Raw genomic sequence first — 21132 nt, 5'->3', positions numbered from 1 at the left:
TTTTTTTTTTTTTTTTTTTTTTTTTTTTTTTTTTTTTGGCCATAATGCGATTGCAAACTTAGGCCACAGTATAGTGTAAAAAAATAAGTTTTGTATGTACTCGTAAAATCAAAAAAATTGTGTTACTAACTTCTTTGCAATATTTATTATAATGACCTAGAAACGAACCTGCAATATCTCCAAGATGTGCCTGCAAGCAAATTGTTTCTTAAGGCTTTTTCTACATAGAAGTGAAATCCATAAGTAAAGCAATTAAACAGATTATTAAAGCAAAAAATGAGCTCAAAATCATCAGATTTTTGAGTCAAAGGCATATTTTTTAAGCTTGACTATGCAGGTAATTACCCCATTTCTGTATTCTGCTTTGTGAACACAGATATTTACTTAAATAGATGTGCTTTTTGTTCATATACCAGACGAGTAAACATCACACTCTCACACACATTATTGCTTCTACCAGAATAAAATTCCGTGTGTTACCATCGCCTTAGGAACACCGAGTTTGAAATATCTGCACCATCTGGAACAAATGGCTTAACTTCCAGCTGTATTAACTTAGCTCTTCATCTTGTCTAAGTGGAAAAGCCGAAGGTATAAGCCTTTCCCTTGTATAGAGTGTGGGATAGACTTGGAGGTTTAATCTATACTCTGTCTATACTTGGGAAGCCTAGACTGAGCTAAAGGTATTTCCCCCCATGTCCAAAGTAATCATTTGTCATTTTTTCACAGCAGGATTGCTTGAATGTCTGGTCCAGCTACGGCCATCTCTCTCGGAAGGGATTACATTTCTGCGGAGCTTCAGAATTCCTGCAATGCTTTGATCTTGCTGAATCTATGGCATGATTGTAACTGTGAGTCATGCTACACGGTTTACTACAAAAGGGATCATGATGGAATGGTGGACTATGGGGAAGGGAACATTGATTCTGAGACTTGTAACTCTTTTCAACATTTTGAAACAGAGATTATTTTACTTATCTTGGACACGAAGGCAGCATAACATCGCAGCGAGGAGCGTGGGCTCTGCATCCATGATCCTAGGTGGGAATCCACCTTCTGCAGCTCACCAGCTCTGTAACTGTGGGCTCACCTTTTCTCTTCTTGGCACCTCCTTTGCCTGCGCTGTGAAATGAGGACAGGATTAACACCGATTTCATGGAGATACTTTGAGGGTTAAAAAGGCAATTTAATGTAAAACATTTGGAACAGTGACTGGTTAAAAATGTAAGCATTCTATTGATAGTAGTTGTTATTAGAAAAGCTACTTTTTTGTTGTCTTTTCACGTTATGCTATTCTAGAATGAGTTAGTCTGCACAGACTCTCAATACACATCCCTCAACTAAAAAAAGCAAGGGAGTGGGATATCAAAGTTTTCGAACATATGCATCTAGTTGTAATTTTTTTCTTATTTGAGTCTCACAACTTTCTGTGATATAAGTATTTTTACTCTTATTTACACATGAAACAACTAAAAACTATGCAACTTATGTAGAATGCTTTATATGCTATGTATAAACACTGTATCAAAATTATATTAAGAGATATAATTCTACAATTCCATAGGAGATAAGCTTACCAACTCCAATGTATGTTTGTCAAAATTAAGTTATAAGAGTATTATCAATTACCCATTTTATGATCATGTACAAATTATAGTTGGACACATTTCTAACAAAATTAATTAAATGAAATAAAAAGTCAATTAAGCAATCAAAAATAGTTGACTTTCATTCTTGTGACTTTCATTGTTGATGGCGTGATTGGGCCTTTTTAAAAACACAATTATTTTCTATCTTTTAAAAAAGGTTACATTTTAAGGTCAGCACATGGGTAGAAGATGGTTGAGAGTAAAAATAACCCTTTACAAAACCATAAATAGCCCCTACAACATCATCAATATACCACATTTAGAGTATTGCACTCTGTGGAGAATTCTTTTGGCACATCAAAGTTTGAACTGGAGAGGGAATGAGATAATTTTACATGTGGATAATTGGACATTGAAGCCACTCTGCCTTTAGGATAACAATAAGATTTTGAGTGATGGTTTAGGGGTGGTTGTGAGCTCCAAGTGTCTCTCCCTGCCAGCAGGATATGTGTTATTCTAATATTGTCTGTATCATTTTCATGCAAGGTTACAGACTTTTTAGTTACAGAAAAGATTAAAAGTGATCACATAATAACACTTCGCATAGATAGTATTACATTCTACATGCTGGGTATATATTAAATGCTTATATGACAGGACTCAATTTTTTTTTCTGATATCTCATGCCTTTTTGAATTCATTCATCCATTCCTTAAACATAAGTTTAATAAATTCAAGATAATTCTGCTAACTGTGTCTCATCTTTGCTTCGTATTAATTTAACAGTTTTACTTATGGACTGAAATATATGTCTACCTGGCTTGCAATGAGCGGACTGAGATTTTATAGCTACTGCATTCTTGGTGCTTGGTTCCTGTTGGTGTGTCATGCTCTGATAACCCTCATGATTTGGGTTTAGAGGTATTTCTCCCATCTGTCATGGCTCCTTTAGCAATTTCGTGTTTTATCTGCCAGCGTCCACCGTGTGTGCCGGCTCAGCTTCTGCGACACAGGCAGCTGATTGAAGCAGCAATGAGCTGAGGGCTCTGCTGTTTTGAGGGTGTGTGGAGAAATTGAAGGACCGCATCCAAACGCAGACACCAAGGTTGTGTGCCAAAGGAAGTCTGGCTGAAGATGTTTTGAAACTCTAAAAGCAGGCTTTTCAAAACTCTGATGCTTATAAATAAATGAACAGAGTTCACATATCACGTGTACATGTTATAGGATATGCTTTACAATAAAAAAGATAAAAATTTTCTTGTAATATGGAGGCCCTAACCATTGTTTTAGAAAAAGTCATTTTAAAAGAATTAAGGTTCTGTTTTGTTCATGGAATCAGCATGTACTTATTGAATACGTCTTGGCTGCTAGGTACTGAGCTAATTACTAAGGGGCCACAGGTTAACTGGGAATGGTTCATTCCTTCAAATCAGCCTTAATTAGTGGGAGGGCTTTGAGGCCAACCTGACCATGAAAAATCAAAATACTGTGAAAAAACAAACGTAAATAAAAGACCTATGGCCAGTCAAATCAGTGATTTTATTCATGGGTGGAAATGTTCATGGTTTCCTCAACTTCTTCATTTGTCCTCATTCCCTGATATTAGGATACTATGAACACTGCAACCAAGACAGCATGCTTATTTTATTCAAGTCCAAGAAACAGTATACATTCAAAAACTAATCAGAAGTAAATAGTTTTGAGCCTGATATAAGGAGTATAATTGTGCTTCCTTTGTTAAACAGTGTTTCCCAGTTTTCTGGCATGTGTAAATTGATATTTTTTAGTAATACTCGTGTTTTTACTTGCATGTATGTGAACTCCATGTTGAGTGAAACTCAAGAACTAGTCTGCATGGATTTTGCTCTCCTATCTGCAGCAAATATGTGTACCACAGCTTTGTGAAAAATAAGTTCTGTAAGCCCAACATATTTTTTCCTCTATATACTGTTCTAAGTCTCATAAACAGAACTAAGAGGAGTGATGATGCTTGCATTTGACTTCCAAGGTTGAGGTTATACAATCTAAAACAATGTGTCAGTGAGTGGATGGAGACACTTATTGAAATGGAAATGCTTTAGAAACACTATTTGGTTTGGGGAATGCTAGTGATATAGAGGAACTTTCAATAGAGGCCAGAGGGAAAAAGGGCCATTTAGAACAACAAGGACACAGAAGAAAAGGATGACTCCATTTGAAGCAGCTGGTAGAGGATTCTACTTTGAAAAAGAAATATCCAGATGATAGAAAAAGTTGTCTTTTGATATTTATTGGAAACTACGCAAGGACACTGTTTCATTTTCAAGAAAATACAATGATCAGTGTAATAATTCATCAGAACTATCATGCTTTTTAGTTCAAAGCATTCTAACAATTTTTTCACGAGAAAACGTAAAAAATAGCTAACCCTCTTTCTGTTTTAATTAGATTCTGCATCTGTTTGAAAGAAGTTTGATAAATATTCTTTCTTATAGACTTCCTGTCACATGACTGGTCCAATATGCGGGCTGGAGGTTGAGGATATTTATGACCAACTTCTTAGATTCTCTGACAAGAAAAATTCTCATTGGTGATTCATATTTCCTACAGAGCTAATGAAATGAAGTCTATTTAAAGGTATCTGCACACCGTATCAATTCTTAACAAATACGATGAGAGGCATGGGATTGGAGATGATATGTACTCAAACGTTATGAAACATTATGTCCAAACTTCACATAAGTTTATGTGTTGTGGCATTTTATTGGCTGTAGAAAGCCTGATGATGTCTTCATTTTCTCTGTGAATCAACTATGCTTTAAAAATCTAAGTTATTTCATTAGTTTCATGTCAAAATACGATAATGACTTTCTCTACACCACACAGAATTTTAAAACTTATTATAAAGATATCAGACAATGCAGTGACTACATTAAACTTACATAAATTTATACAAAGTTTAGTGTATGATTTAAATAGTTGACAGTCAAGAAAAGGTCAGAGCAATTAGAGGCAGGATTCGCCACTGGAAACAGGAGCAAGAGCTGGAACTCTTTCCACAATCTCATGATTTAGTGGATGAATCCTAACAGAAGTCACATGGCTTTATTTCATGGCCAGAACCACCAGGCTGTTACAGGAAAGCCAAAAAGACCAGACAGAGAAGAATGTTTCCTTACAGTAAAGGCAAAATTTAGACATTTAAAATTTGTTTTCTAACAAATGAGATATTTTTAGCTTACACTGAGAAAATTAAGAAATTCATCTGACATGTCATTCTTACTCTCAAAACAAGGCCTACTTTGACTGTAATATATGTTTTCTAGAAGTAATAACATTAACTTTTAAATTCATTTTAAATGTTGATATGTAAATAAAGTAGAAACGTGGATATGCTTTACCCAAACTATTAACATTGTCTTCATACTAGAAGCTCACTTTAAAAGATAATGAAAACTTAATATAAAAACATAATCATCATAGTTTAAATATCTAAAACTAGTATGTTTGTGTAAAATTTCTGCTTATTAGTTTGTTTCGATAATAATCTTTTTTAACAACTAGGAAATTATACTTTCTACATTAGTTTCTGTAAATGTAGAAGTAAAAGACCTCCTTGTCTTAAAAGAATAGGTAGACTAATATAAAAATATCAAGATTAAAAGCTAAAAAAATTAACATAGCTGTACCTAGTGAGTTGGCTAATGTCAGCACAGTACATGCTGTTTGCAACATCGCTTCTCATGAAATATTTTACTGGTTATGGTTCATGTAAAATTATTGCTTAATTATAATTAAACATGATTCACCACAATGCAATCCATTTGTTCATCTCATTTGTTAATTCATTTTAGAAATAAATATTGAGCTGCAAAAATGTGCATTGTGCTATTCTAGTATCCCTTATTGAATCCAAATATCTTAATTGGGCTGCTACTGTAAAAATGGTAATTTTTCCAATTTTTCATACTGTTACCATATATGTTTTTAGAAACCTAATTGCTATATAAATTTTGTGGCAATGTGCATTTAAATGTTTTTGTGATTATCCACATTAGGAAGGAGTTCAACCTATCTTAAAGAGGAACATCCAAATTGCAACGTTGGTGTCATGTGCACAGTTCCTGTTTAATAAATATTTATCTTTCTTACTGCAAAATTAACATAAAGCCCAGAGGGTAAATGCTTTATAACTATATTTCATTCTGGAAATATATTATTGAAACAACTTAACCAACAAGAGAAAAGACAAGAACAGCAAGAGTTCTAAACACTGATATAACTACTTCAGTAGTCGCCTTTTGGATTCCATTCAAAACCCATAACTTCAATTAAGTAGATGTATTAGTCCATTTTTGTGTGGCTATATAGAGATACCTCAGGCTGGGTAATTTATAAAGAAAAGAGGTTTATTTTGGCTCATGATTCTGCAGACTGTACAGGAAGCCTGATGCTGGCATCTGCTTCTGGGGAGGCTCAGGAAGCTTTTAATCATGGTGAAAGGTGTAGGGGGAGATGGCATATCACATGATGAGAGTGGCAGCAGGAGAGGGAGGAGGTGCCAGTCTCCTTTGAACAACTAGATCTCTGGTGAACTCAGAGAGAGAGAGAACTCACTCATTACCTCCAGGACAGCACCGAGACATTCATGAGGGATCTGACCCCATGACCTAAACACCTCCCACCAGGCCCCACACTGGGGATGGCATTTCAACGTGAGATTTGAAGGGGACAAACATAGAAGCCACGTAAGTAAAGAAATGTGTACTGAGAAATGGAGAATGCAAGAGAATAACTGGATTGAAACACAGTTTTTTTTTCATTCTTTATAATGACATCCTGTTATTAGAGTTGAAATAAAATGTGAAAGTAACAAATTTCTCATGACATATACAATGATCAAGCGTGTGCTTGGGGTTGATATGCTTATGCATACATATACATATACAGTGAAATTTCTCTATCAGCGTGAATCAAAATCTAGGATAAAAAAGGTAGAACCTATTATATTTATATGTAAATAATGCCCTACAGGTGCCTTACCTAAATTATCTCATGTAAACCTTAAAAGAAAAAACCTATATGGTGATTTTTTAAATTCCTTTTAAGTAGAAAAAAATTGAGAATTGGTTATTTGGCATAAGATAAAATGGCTAAAAAATGATAATGTCACAGTTTAAACCCAAGTGAGATGGACTCTCAAGGAATATCCTGAGCTTTCTTGTCAATGAAACAGCACATGGCTTTGACCATCGTGAAAACTTGTACTAATCCACTGCTGTTTAATTGGAAAATGATGACCTTTCCAGAGATGCCAATAGATGACAGATTGCTATCAGTTGGTGATTAATAAAATTCACTACAATAATATTATAAGACAATATTATAATAAAATAACAACTGATTTAGGCAAAAATCATCAAGGAATGTCAAAATGAGTGTGTGAAAGTTTAAACAGCAAGACTTGTATAGTCACAAAGTATCTCAGAACAGAATTCTCTTAAACACAAAGAGTAAAATAGTGACGTGGCAGTGGAGAAACTGAGTCCACATCATTTAACATAATGATCAAAGTGACCCCTTCAGTAATGAAACTCATTGACAGTGTGTGCTTCCTAACATGGTCACTGAGAAAAACTTTGTGTCATTTCTGTGGTATTATTATCAAAAATATAAAACCCAAATCTAGTCATGAGAAAACAACAGACAAATCCCAAACTGAGGGATAATATACAGAATGTGTCTAATACTCTTCTAAAATATCAATACATTAAGTACTCACTTAATGAAACTGATAGGTTCCTGGAAACTAAGACTTAAAGCAAAATGACTTAAAATCATTTTTGCTCATCAATATTAGGAAAACGTGATGTTGCAGGAAGGAATTTTATTTGAGGATCTTCTGTACATCATTTTGCTTAAAGTTGCAATTTCCAAGAACCAAGTGAGGACTAACTGTATATTGTAAGTGAGGACTTACTGTATATTGAAATATAAGAAGAATCAGCAACTCTTCTAAATTAAGTGAGGCCAAAGAGATGTGGGAACTGAATAAAACCCATCAGCTTGGATTTACTTTGTCTATAAGTAACATTATAGGGAAAGTTGGTAAAATCTATCAGGTCTGTATATGAAGGAGGAGTATGACCTCAGTGTCGGTTTCCTGAGTTGGATTATTATACTTCGATGTTGTAAGAAAATGCCTTATTTTCAGATAGTATACAGTGAATTATTTAGGGAAGAAGAGGTGTCATATATACAACTTCCTCTTACACATTTCAGAAAAAGAAAATGTGTACATATGTGCAGAGAGAAGGGGGACTAGAGAAAGCAAATGTAGTAATGTGTTAACATTTGGGGATTCTGAGCGGAAAGTGTTAGGGAATTTTTTGTGCTATTCTTAAAACTTTTCTGAAAGTCTGAAATTATACAAAACTAAAAAAAAAGAGAGAAGCATATATTATATAGTCAGCCCTCTGTTTTCACCAGTTAATTTACAAATTCAACCAACCTTGGATCAAAAATAATCGGAAAAAAATTAAAATAATACAAATAGAAGGCAATACAGTGTAACGACTGTTTACATAGCATTTGCTTTCATTAGGTAGTATAAGTAATCTAGAAATGGTCTAAAGTACAAGGCAGGATGTGTATGTACGTTGTATGCAAATACTACACCTTTTGATATAAGGGACTTATCATCCTGGATTTGGTATCTGAGAGGGTTCTGAAACCAATCACCTGTGAATGCCATCAGATGACTGTGGTATTTACAGTGCCATTTAATACAAAAAAAAAGCCTGCAATTTGATAAAACATCATAGTTTTCAAAAATCATGCAGGTAAAGTTCAAATAGAACATTTGACTTAAAAAAAAAGTGATTTTATAAACCTAATATACCAAAATGGTTGCAATCACAGATCATCATTTCTTAAAGCCTTGCTAGTTATTTCTCCTATATTTCTTTCTCTCCATGAAATTTTTGCAGGGGCAGAGGGAATAATTAAAAATAAATACTCATGACAATATGCCATTAATAATATTAACAAATTGTATTGACTTTTTACTGCAAAATATACTAAATGTTTTATATGTACTGTCTTATTTAATTTTCACATCTCCTAAGGATTGGCACTACAATTACCTTTATTTTATGAAAGAGAAACTGAGTCTTAGAGATGAAGAACTTTCAAGGACCAGCCACGTAGAAGACTGTGGCACAGGGAAAGAAAGCAGAAACTTCCATTCTACCACCCATGCTTGCTGCAGTAAGTGCTTTCAGTGAGAGAGATCTACCCTGATGCGATCTCAAATCAGATATACTTCCATTTTCTAAATGTTCAACTGCATCTTCTGATTCAGCTGTTTCATAAAATATTAGTATTACAGTTTTTTAAATTTCCACATGGAAATTTTATTTCAAAATATCACAATTCATTTAAAATTCAGAATTCTTTCTGAAGCTGAAAGTGTTTCATTTAATTATAGCTTATTTTGAGTTATGAAGCCTGTATGGCTCCTATACATCCTTGTTCTAATTTTTTGGTGTTTTTTTTTTTTTTTTTCCTCACTTTGTCACCCAGGCTGGAGTGCGGTGGCGTGATCTCAGCTCACTACAACCTCCACTTCCTGGATTCAAGCAATTCTCCTGCCTCAGCCTCCCAAGTAGCTGGGATTACAAATGCCCACTGCTATGCCTGGCTAATTTTTGCATTTTTTTTGTAGAGATGGGGTTTCACCATGTTGGCCAGACTGGTCTCCACCTCCTGACCTCAAGTGATCTGCCCCCTTCGGCCTCCCGAAGTGCTGGAATTACAGGTGTGAGCCACGGTGCCTGGCCAGCTCTAGTTTTCTGAAAACTATTTTCAGGTTTCCATATCCTGGCCCTCCTCTCCATCAAAAAGCCTGAGGTCAATAATAAATAATGCCAATACATTGCTGAGAGAAGTAATCACAGAGCTGATTAAAGTATATTCATTTATCCACGTTTTTCCAATTTTTAATCAACTTTTTTGGCATATAATTTTAAGAAAAATAAAAGGCACCCATTTAAAAAATGTAGTTAATGAGGCCAGGGGCAGTGTCTCATGCTTGTAATCCCAGCACTTTGGGAGGCGGAGGCGCACAGATCACAAGGTCAGGAGATCGAGACCACCCTGACCAACATGGTGAAACCCCATCTCTACTAAAAAAACAAAAATTAGCTGGGTGTGGTGGCGCACGCCTGTAGTCCCAGCTACTCGGGAGGCTGAGGCAGGAGAATCACTTGAACCAGGGAAGTGGAGGTTGCAGTGAGCAGAGATCGCACCACTGCACTCCAGCCTGGCAACAGAGAGAGACTCTATCTCAAAAAAAAGAAAAAATAGTAGTTAATGAGTATTGTTTCTTCTTAAATAGACTTTATTTGCTAGAGCAGTTTTAGGTTTATAGAATAATTACACAGGAAGTAAAATTAATTTCCATATAATTCCGCCCACCCACATGCACCACAGTCTAGCTTGTATCAATTGTCTTCTGTAATGGACCATGCCTTTGTATCTAAAAAGTCATCACCAGATCCAAGGTCGCCTATATTTTCACCTCTGCTATCTTATCAAAGTTGTGTGATTATTTTTGTCTGTTTCACATTTAGTCCTGTGGCTCTTTTCAGTTATTTTATTTGAAAAGTTTAAAGTCTGTGTCTGGATTCATTTTATTGTTGTTCCAGCCACATTTATAGAAAAAACTCTTTGCTCCACTGAATTGCCTTCGGTCTTTGATGAAAGACTAGTTGAGTGTATATGTTTGAGTCTATTTCAGGGATCTCTATTATGTTCCATTGATCTATTTGCCCATTATTTTGTGAATATCACACTTTCTAGATCACTGCAGCTTTGTAGTAAGTTCTGGGTCATGTGGTTTGTGTCCTCCAGGGTCGCTGCTCAGTACTGTGTGGGTTATGCTGGGTCCTTTGCCTTTCCATATGAACTTTAGAATCAATTTTTCTATGTTAAAAAATAATTTCCTGTGATTTTGATAGAGATTGTGGTGAATCAATACATCAAGTTGGGGAAAATCAACATCTTAATAATATTGAGACTTCCTATCCATATTGTGGAATATCTCTCCATTTATTTGGATCTTGGATTTCTCTTACTAGAGTTGTGTCATTTTCTCATATAAATCTTGTACATACTTGTTAGATTAATTCTTACATATTCAATTTTTGTCTGCTGATATAAATGTTATTGTCATGGAATTCAAATTTCCAATTTTTCAGAGCTAGTATATGGGAAAGCAATTGACTTTTATATATTATCCTGTATCCTGCAACAATCTTGTTATAATTCCTTTCATGCTCCAATAGTATTTTGATGGATTTAGGGTTATTTTCTTATAGACAATCATATCACATAATACCATCTCTGCATAAGGGTAGTTTAATTTCTTCTTTCTTTCTCTGTATAATTTTTATTTCCTTCTATTGCCTTACTACATTAGCCAAGACTACCAGTATGATGTTTAATTAGAGTGTTCAGAGGGGAAATTCCTGCCTTGGTCTCAATCTTAGGCAGATGGTATCAACTTTCTCACCATTAAGCATGACATGTAATGTAAGTTTTTTGGAGATGTTCATTTTATTGGAAAAGTTCCTCTCTATTCTTAGTTTGTTGAGCATTTTAATCATGAATAAGTGTTGGATTTTGTCAAATCTGTTCTTTCATCAATTGATGTGATAATATGATATTGCTTCTGTAGTCTGTGAAATGATGGATTATGCTAATTGATTTTCAAATGTGGAAATAGTCTGGCACACCTGGAATAAATCCCACTTCAGTGTGGAGTATAATTCTTTTTATATGTTATTAAATTGAGTTTTTGAACTTATTTGTGATGGTTTGCGCATCTATATTTATTAAAAATGTTGGTTTATCATTTTAATTTTTTATAATGTTTTTCTCTGGTTTTTGTGTTCGATAATGCGGTTGTTATAGAACAAGTTAAGAACTATTCTCTCTCTGGTACAGATAGAAGTTCATTAAAAAAAATAAAACTCTTCTCTGTTTCTATTTTCTGGAAAAGATTGTAGAGAATTAGCAAAATTTCTTCCATAAAAAAAATTTGGTAGAATTCACCATATGGCTGGTACTTTCTGTTTTGGAAGGTTATTAATTATTGATATAATTTCATTATTCAATATTTTCCCATTCAGATTGTCTATTTCTCTTTGTGTGTTTCTGTGGCTTGTGTTTCTAGTAATTTGTCCATTTCAGCTAAGTTGTCAAAGTTTTCGACATAGTTTTCATAAAATTGTTTATTATCATTTTAATGTCTTTGGGATCAGTGGTGATGGTCCCTTTTACATGTCAGATATTAGCTCTTTTTGCCTTCTCTCTCCCTCTTTTTTTTTTGTTTGTTTGTTTTTTTTTTTTGGCTAGCCTCACTAAAGGTAAAGAAGCTACAAGGAGTGAATTTTATTATCCTACCAAAGAACCAGCTTCTAGTTTTGTTGATTTTCTCTATTAATTTTCTTTATAAAATTTTATTACTTTTGGCCCTAAATTTTATTGTTTATTTTTCCTCTCTTGCTTTGTATTTAATTGCCTCTCCTATTTCTATTTTTCTAAGAAAAGTTTAGATTATTGTTTTTTGGATCTTTATCTTTTTTTCCTCACATCTGCATTCTACACTATAATTTCTCTCTAAGGACTACTTTTGCTATTTACTGTATTTTCATTTAATTCAGAATATTTTAGCTTTCTCTTGGGAATCTTTCTTTGATCCATGTGTTACTTAGAAGTATGTTTTTTAATCTCTAGGTATTTTGGAATTTTCTAGCTATCTTTCTGTTATTCATGTCTAGTTCAATTTCATTGTAGTTTGAAAGCATTCTTTGTATGAATTACATTCTTTTAACTTTTTAAGTCCTGTTTTATAGCCCAGAAACTGGACTACCTTGGTGAGTGTTGCATGGGATCTTAAGAAGAATGTGTATTCTGCTGTTGTTGAATGAAGTAGTCTATAGACGTCAATTATATCCGGTTAATATTTGGTGCTGTTGAGTTAAGCTATGTCCTTACTGATTTTCTGGCTCTTAAATCTGTTTCTGACTGTGGAAGTTGCAGTCTTCTACTATGACAGTAGATTCATCTATTTATCTTTGCATTGCTGTCAGTTTTTGCCTCACGCATTTTTAAGTTTTCTTGTTTAAACAAATGCACATTAAGAATTGTGTCTTTTTGGAGAGTTGAACCCTTTATTGTTAAATAGTGTTCCTTTTTATCCCTGGTAATTTTGTTTGCTGTGAAATCTGCTTTGTCTAAACATTGATTCATTTTTTTAAAATTAGTTCACACACACGTTTATTGAAATAGTTCTAACCTCTGCACAGAGACCCTTGCCAAAGCTCCTGGACAGGACAATTGATTCCACCAGGTAGGGCGGCAGGAACTAAAACAAAAAGGAGCTGGATGTAAGGTATTTGGAGTGACAAATAGGTAGACTGGTAAAATCAGAAGTTATGATTACATGTCTTCAATTGCATACCTTAAGCAGAAACCTTTTATGGTACTATTATAGACACTTAAGTGCCTCTCTGTCCCCATACCTGTAAAGGGATAAAATAAAGGAATCACCTCCAAACTTTGGGCATATTCCTGTAAGAAAGAAAAGAAGTATGAGAAAAAGTGTAACTGACGCTATTATATATCCTCCATATCATGATTCATTTTATTTTTCCACAAAAAAAGTCAAGTAAAAATAATGTTTCTCAAATTGTTTTGGTCATTGATATTATGTGTGTATTATGTATGAAAAAAAAATTTTAAAAATTTGAAGCCACTTTAGAACCAATGAAGTAACCTGGGAACCATTGTCAGAACTGGCTTTATTTTTTAATTGAAAAGGATACAAATCTAAATTTGCATACATTTCAAATTTACATTTGCCATTGGCATATTATTTATAAAAATTTGGAAACTTCTGAATTATTCCTAATGAATAAGTAATTGATTTCGTAAAATATATACTTTACTTAAGTAAAATTAGTCTAAATTGGTTGTGTGAATAGTTCCTTTCTAAAGAAAATGCTGATCATTTTTAGTTTACTAATGTTAAGGGTAAATATTTGAAACTGAAGGAAAACATTGTCAAATTATCAGACATAAATAAATATTTAAAAGAAAAATTTGCTTTGAATTTACATTTCATGATTAAAGTGAAATGTTGAAAAATAATTAAAATGTTCATAAAATAATACATTTTATGGGCAAAATAAATCATACTCTTCCACCACCCTGTCACTATTTACTAAAAAATAGACCATTTTATCTTTAAGATACTTAAGCTCATTTCTTGAAGGATACTAGGAGGAGACTTTTGTTCAACTCTCTGCAGGAAGCTTCTGGTGATGAGGAGGTCCTCTTCTAGTACAGTGCAGGAGAGAGAAGTAGACAGAATGGAATTCCTTGATGTTAATATAATATAAAAGACCCAAAAGGTCATCTAGTAGCCAGATGCTTTATATAAACTTGAAATAGGCGGTTACTATATGCCTGTTTTTCAATCCTGGACCACTTTATTTACCTATGCAAACATGACTTTAATTAGAAAGATTTTGACCCGATTCATGTAAAGCTCACCTCAGAAACACCTGGAATTTAGAAAGACAAGATCCTACAAATTGCCATGTGCAGAATCATTATTTGTATTACCAAGGAATTTGTGCACTTCATTTTTATGAGAGGATTTAATTATGTTCAGCTATAGAAAAGCTTAGAAGAAGCTCTTTATTAAAAACAAGATTAATACATGAACTAAAATGTTCATTCTAAAAATTCAAAGCACAAAACTTTTAAATTGATGTAATAAGGCTGACATCCAAAGAAAAAAATAACATTATACATATTAAAAGGATGATAAAAATTGCATGATGAGATGAATCTATTCATAAAATTGTAGTGCTCTCTTACAGTGGCCTCTGTAGGGAGTAAAATATTGTCATTGTAAAAGTCTCTGTACCCTGCACCATAGCTCTGAAATTCCACCAGCAAAAATACATATGTTTGGCTTTGGTAGAATTTGGTAAAAATTTATCTATTATGAAAATATTCCAAAATATACAAACATGCAAAGGACAGCACAATGTGGCTGAATGCTTAGCTTCAAGAATTACCAATATTCTGTCAATCTGTTCTTCCCAAACCCTGGTCATGATATCATATCTTCGATAAACGCTTCAGGAGGTAGAGAGGATTTTTGTCTTCCTATACAATTTCCAGTCTTTCAGAATTACTTAAAAACATTAAAATATTTTTACAGGAATTGATAACATATTAGCCAATTAATATCACTACAAAAATCAAAGTGATAAAGTAATCACATTCCAACCAATACATGTTGGAGGGTTATTAGGTTGCAGTTGGTATTAGATTGGTAATAGGCCCTGATACAAATCTTACTAACGTCACTGCTTTGTCTGGTCTGAACGACTCTGGATGAGACGTAAGGACCAAAGTAGAGAATATTCATGCTTGCTGGCCTAGTTAAGCCTTTGTTCATCCATCTGACGTCTCTAAGATGAATGAGTGCGTATTCCCTGTTCCCTTAGAACTCTGAAAATAAAGAGTTATTTTTCTGCAGTTGGAATCAATGGATAAACAGACAACAATTTTTCTATTGATTAAGGAAGGTAATGCTAGAAAATAAATTGGATTTAAATCTGACTGGCACATGTCAAGTGAAGTAGGGTATCAGAACTAACTTCTCTAGTTTCTCTAAGCCCGTATACATATGCAAAAGGGATTTGAGCATTGGATACATGTTTTTAATGTTCAGGGTGTGGAATTTAGGCTCTGGAATGACCCAGGACATACATGATCTTAGCCTAAAATAAGGTGGAGAAGCCAGAAGGAAGAGTCAGAACACTCAGGACTTCAAGATGGATTAGATGGAGAGGGAGGCAAAGTAAGAATCAACAATAAAGCCCAAGTTTGTGATTTCACAAACTGTGTGGGTGGTGATGCCGCTGAGATACAGAAGTCAGAGGAGTGGAGTCAAAAGATGGGTGAAGGTGGTGTAGGATAAGCAGATATGAGGTACTTATAAGTCTAGTTTTCCCATAGCATCATGGGTGTGGCTCTGAAGACAATGATTGGAAAAGGCATACCTGGGAAATTTGGGGATAGTTGTGGGTGCTTATGGAGCAGGATGCATGTCATATCATAAGGTGGAAGAAAATGAGGCTGAAAAATATAAATCAACACACAACAGCTTACAAAGCACTGGGTCAGAATGGTGTCATTGTTGAGACTCTATATGCACCCTACTCTTCTAAGTTCTCCTTTGAACCTTATTTTCCAGATTTTCTTGTCACCATCATTGGCTGCATCCTTCCAATGAGTGATATTCAAATGACATTTAGCAGGCAGAAGGAAAAGCCATGTTTTCTGTTGTGTTTTTGAATGCTGACCCGGGGTTGGCCTCCAGGTGCAGTGTTGAGGAAACCATGTACTGGTACATGGCAGCTGAAGTTATGCATTTTTGCTTCTTTGCAATTTCTGCATTTCCAGGTTGGTTTTGTTTTGTTTTTGCTTTTAGTTGAATAGTACTGTGATTAAACTTGCGTTGCAATAAATAAGACTTTATTGCTGACAGTAAATGATGAAAGATTTAGACGAAAGACATTAATTGCTCAGATACAGTTTATTTAGATGTTGGTGAATGTTTTAATTGAGTCTTTCATCATATCTTTTTTGATAGCATGGGAAATCTGTGGATTGAGTGAAAATCTTGGCATTTGACTTGATAGCATATCAATACTTATGTGAATGAAAGTCTCTTGTGATATAATACACATCTTTTCTTTGGAACTATCTGGTTGTCAAGAAGTATAACGAAAAGAACTAGATGATGTCCATAAAATCTGTGACAACAATAATGTAGAGCAAGAATGCTTTTAAGTCAATATGACAGTATAAAAAATGAAGCTCAAAAGATGTTAGACTTAAATTTGGGGCAGAAACCAACAAACTAAATATAACACGTATATGATTTTCCCCTCCCAAACATCTATTTCTTTCCAAAGAAAAGTTATTTTAACTTTATCTTGTTGCATATTCTTTTCAACTATAATGTGATTTATCAGTAAATGCTCAGTCAGTCTTGAAAATATTTTCTCAATGGTCTGTAAGAGAAATGTTCACTAATTTAACAGTATTCTTATCACAATATTGCTTGTCTGAAGGTGCTGGGACATGGTTTGAAAGCCTCTCTCTACCTAACACACTTCTTTTGTTTCCTCAGGCAAGAGACAATGCTGATGCTACAGCACTGGAGCTTAGAATTCACACTTCATTGATAACATGCATAACTTTTTGAAATATCTTCTAAGTAAACACTTTTTAAAATATTGGGGTAGAAAACTATATGCAGCTAGGCATGGTGGCTCACACCTGTAACCTAAACACTTTGAGAGGCCAAGGCGGGAGGATTGCTTGAGACTAGGAGTTCAAGACCAGCTTGGGGCAACATGGTGAGACCTCGTCTCTACAAAAAAAAAAAAAAAAAAAAAAAAAAAAAAAAAAAAAAAAAAAAGAATAATTAGCCAGAAGTGGTGAACATAACTGTAGATCCAACTATTTGTGAGGCTGAGATGGGAGGATCAACTGAGCCTGGGGAGGTCAAGAATACAGTCAGCTATGATCCTGCTGCTGCACTCCAGCCTGGGTAACAGAGAGAGACACTTTTAAAAAAAAAGGAAGAAAGAAAGAAAGAGAGAGAGAGAGAGACAAAGAAAGAAAGAAAGAGAGAAAGAGGGAAAGGAAGAAAGAAAGAAAAAGAAAAAAAGAAAGAGAGACAGGGAGGGAGGGAAGGAAGGAGGGAAGGGAAGAGAGAAAGAGAAAACTTCATGCAAGACTATGTTTTTGAAAACAAGCTATGTAAAAGTACGAAATGATATAAATTATCAATATGAATAAGAGTAAGAAAAAGAAGAAATTGAAAAGACCCTCTGGAAAAATAAGTTATGCTCTTATTCAAGATAATGATTATGAAGAAATGTTCAAATACTTATGCTATGATAAGGATGGTGTTTTTAAAAGTGGATAGTATTTTTTATAGTTTTTTAAGACTATATACTACACTAATATAGTCTTAAAAACTATAAAAAATACTATCCACTTTTAAAATCAACATCCTTATCATAGCATAAGGTGCTGGGAAAACTGGCTAGCCATATGTAGAAAGCTGAAACTGGATCCCTTCCTTACACCTTACACAAAAATTAATTCAAGATGGATTAAAGACTTACATGTTAGACCTAAAACCATAAAAACCCTAGAAGAAAACCTAGGCAATGCCATTCAGGACATAGGCATGGGCAGGGACTTCATGTCTTAAACACCAAAAGCATGGCAATAAAAGCCAAAATTGACAAATGGGATCTAATTAAACTAAAGAGCTTCTGCACAGCAAAAGAAACCATCAGAGTGAACAGGCAACCTACAGAATGGGAGAAAATTTTTGCAACCTACTCATCTGACAAAGGGCTAATATCCAGAATCTACAATGAACTCAAACAAATTTACAAGAAAAAAACAAACATCCCCATCAAAAAGTGGGCGGAGGATATGAACAGACACTTCTCAAAAGAAGACATTTATGCAGCCAAAAAACGCATGAAAAAATGCTCATCATCACTGGCCATCAGTGAAATGGAAATCAAAACGACAATGAGATACCATCTCACACCAGTTAGAATGGCGATCATTGAAAAGTCAGGAAACAACAGGGGCTAGAGAGGATGTGGAGAAATAGGAACACTTTTACACTGTTGGTGGGACTGTAAACTAGTTCAACCATTGTGGAAGTCAGTGTGGCGATTCCTCAGGGATCTAGAAGTAGAAATACCATTTGATCCAGCCATCCCATTACTGGATATATACCCAAAAGATTATAAATCATGCTGCTATAAGGACATATGCACACGTATGTTTATTGTGGCACTATTTACAATAACAAAGACTTGGAACCAACCCAAATGTCCAACAATGATAGTCTGGATTAAGAAAATGTGGCACATATACAACAAGGAATACTATTCAGCCATAAAAAATCATGAGTTCATGTCCTTTGTAGGGACATGGATGAAGCTGGAAACCATCATTCTCAGCAAACTATCACAAGGACAAAAAACCAAACACCGCATGTTCTCACTCATAGGTGGGAATTGAACAATGAGAACACATGGACACAGGAAGGGGAACATCATGCACCGGGGACGGTTGTGGGGTGGTGGGAGGGGGGAGGGATAGCATTAGGAGATATACCTAATGCTAAATGATGAGTTAATGGGTGCAGCACACCAACATGGCACATGTATACATATGCAACTAACCTGCACATTGTGCACATGTACCCTAAAACTTAAAAAAAAAAAAGACTATACTAGTGCAGTATATATACTATATGTATGTGTGGGAGAGGGTGTATATATATATACATATATACTTAAAATCTGTAAATTTTCCCAATGAATTATAATAGCTCTTGAGAGCAAGTTTTAGGTTTTGTTCCTTTTCTAAGCCACACTTCCATGCTGCTTTGCACAAAGAAGGCATTCTACAGATGCTTTTCAAATAAATCATGTCATTGAAACTGTAAATTAATATAAATGTTTTGCTTGAAAAGCTACTATCCTCCTAAGTGACCATCCAGCACGTACTATATTTAAATTATCAGCAAGTTTTCATTTTAGGCTAGTCTTTTCAGAAGTAAAATAAATAAATCAATAAAGGAGAAAATGTGACAAACCTATGGTAACATACTATAAGTAGTGACCCTCTGCACCATGCGGAACTGACCTGAAGAGGAGGGGCATGATTAGTGTGTACACTGCCACAAGCTGAGCTACAAATTCATCTCGAGTGCATGTTGGAAAATGCGTTTCTTAGATGTGATGTAAATTGCATGAGTCTTGTAGTATTCTGACAATGCAAAAACCTGTGACATCTTAAAGAATTAAGCAATATATTCACAGAATGAAAACACATAAGTGCAGCTGCCTATGTGAGAAAGATATATTACAGAATATTCCTGTGAATAGATGAGATAGTAGATGGATGTCTTATATATATATATGTATATATATATATATATGTGTGTGTATATATATATATATATATATATATGTATATATATATATGTGTGTATATATATACCTAAGCCAACATAAATGAAAACCTTTCTGCAGGAACATATGTATCTATTTATGTCTTCATAAGTGTCCAGACAGACTTCACATCCCACTCCCTCAGGACACACAATTGGAATTACACAAACAGCATAAGAACCAAATAAGTAAAACCAGCGTTCTCAGAGCTGACTATCATTAATCACTAATGATGTCGGGTCCGTGAATACCTGGCTTCAACAATAAAACAGATCATGCATTCTACAAGCAGACAATGAATTTTCTAAAGAAAAATAACCTCCCTTAAGGATACAGAGACTCCATAAAGACCAAATGAAGCCGATGATAAGTAACCTGGCCAAAAGATCTGGATGACGACATCAGTGGTCATTTCACTACCCTTGAAACTGATATTTTCTAAAATACATATTTTTTAAATAACAGAGAATCATTAAAAGTTGATAAATGTATAAAATACAGGCTACTTAGCTGATACTTTCTTTGGTACATCTCCTTGGGTCTGAAGACATAGTTTAGCAGTTAACCCTTCAGGAACCATGCTGAGAAAATATCTCTTATGATGAATATCTTGATTTGTTTTACAACTAAAAAGGTAATTTATAGCATGAAGTCTTATTGGGCTGTTAAGACACATGGAATAAATACTAAACTAACATACATGATGAGTTACATTTTGTCAAGGAGCTGGAGTTGCTGAAAATTATGCAGGCTCCAATTGGGATAACTCAGTCAGCATTTTTACCCTCACGGTAGAATGGAACATCAGTGTTCACCATCAAAAGAGTAAGCCTAAATTATGATGATATGGCTCACTATATATGATCTTGGCTTTCTCATTTTACTTTTAATAGAATTCATTTCTTTCTTATGTTTAAAATAAGGAGACAGAATTTGCATGGTTCAAAAAATATACAACCTGCCATATGTTATCATCTTATGCAATAAAGGAAACCTTGTATGTGCCTTCTATTGTGAATTTTCTATAAAATAGGGCTACTGGCCAACATAAAGTAATATTTGGGTAATTAAAAGTACACATAAAACAAATAATGAGACAAACAGCACATAACAGATGCTAATAAGCCAATTATTCTCTTTTGAATGCAAAGGTAAAAATCACACAGACTACAGCAGATGTGCCTGTTGGGGAAGGTAGAATAAGGATGCTAAGACTTAGAAAGAAACATAAGAAAACATTTTCAAGGGCTGGAACTGGGGCATTGCTCATTTGCACTCAGACTAAAAGACAGTTCTAACGAAGCAACCTGAGTGGGCTGCTTCAAGGAGTCAGCTTTCCTCAGTGTCTTCACCTCTTCTGACTGGCCCGTTCCAGGGTGGAGTGGCCAGCTCCCTCTTGGTGGCACTCAGACCTG

General features: G+C 34.6%; 1 annotated feature.

Moving 5' to 3' along the window:
- Nucleotides 228–1427: an enhancer, noted in NCBI's record as "CDK7 strongly-dependent group 2 enhancer chr10:4473152-4474351 (GRCh37/hg19 assembly coordinates)". NCBI's record gives its function as "activates an origin of replication core promoter dependent on BRD2, BRD4, P300/CBP, MED14 and CDK7 cofactors, with strong dependence on CDK7, by STARR-seq in HCT116 cells {active_cell/tissue: HCT116}" and the evidence as "EXISTENCE:reporter gene assay evidence [ECO:0000049][PMID:35650434]".

Source organism: Homo sapiens, chromosome 10 (genome assembly GCF_000001405.40).
Source record: "Homo sapiens chromosome 10, GRCh38.p14 Primary Assembly".
NCBI classification, from domain to species: Eukaryota; Metazoa; Chordata; class Mammalia; order Primates; family Hominidae; genus Homo; species Homo sapiens.
The sequence above is the reverse complement of the archived record's forward strand: the minus strand, read 5'-3'. Positions and strand labels throughout refer to the sequence as shown.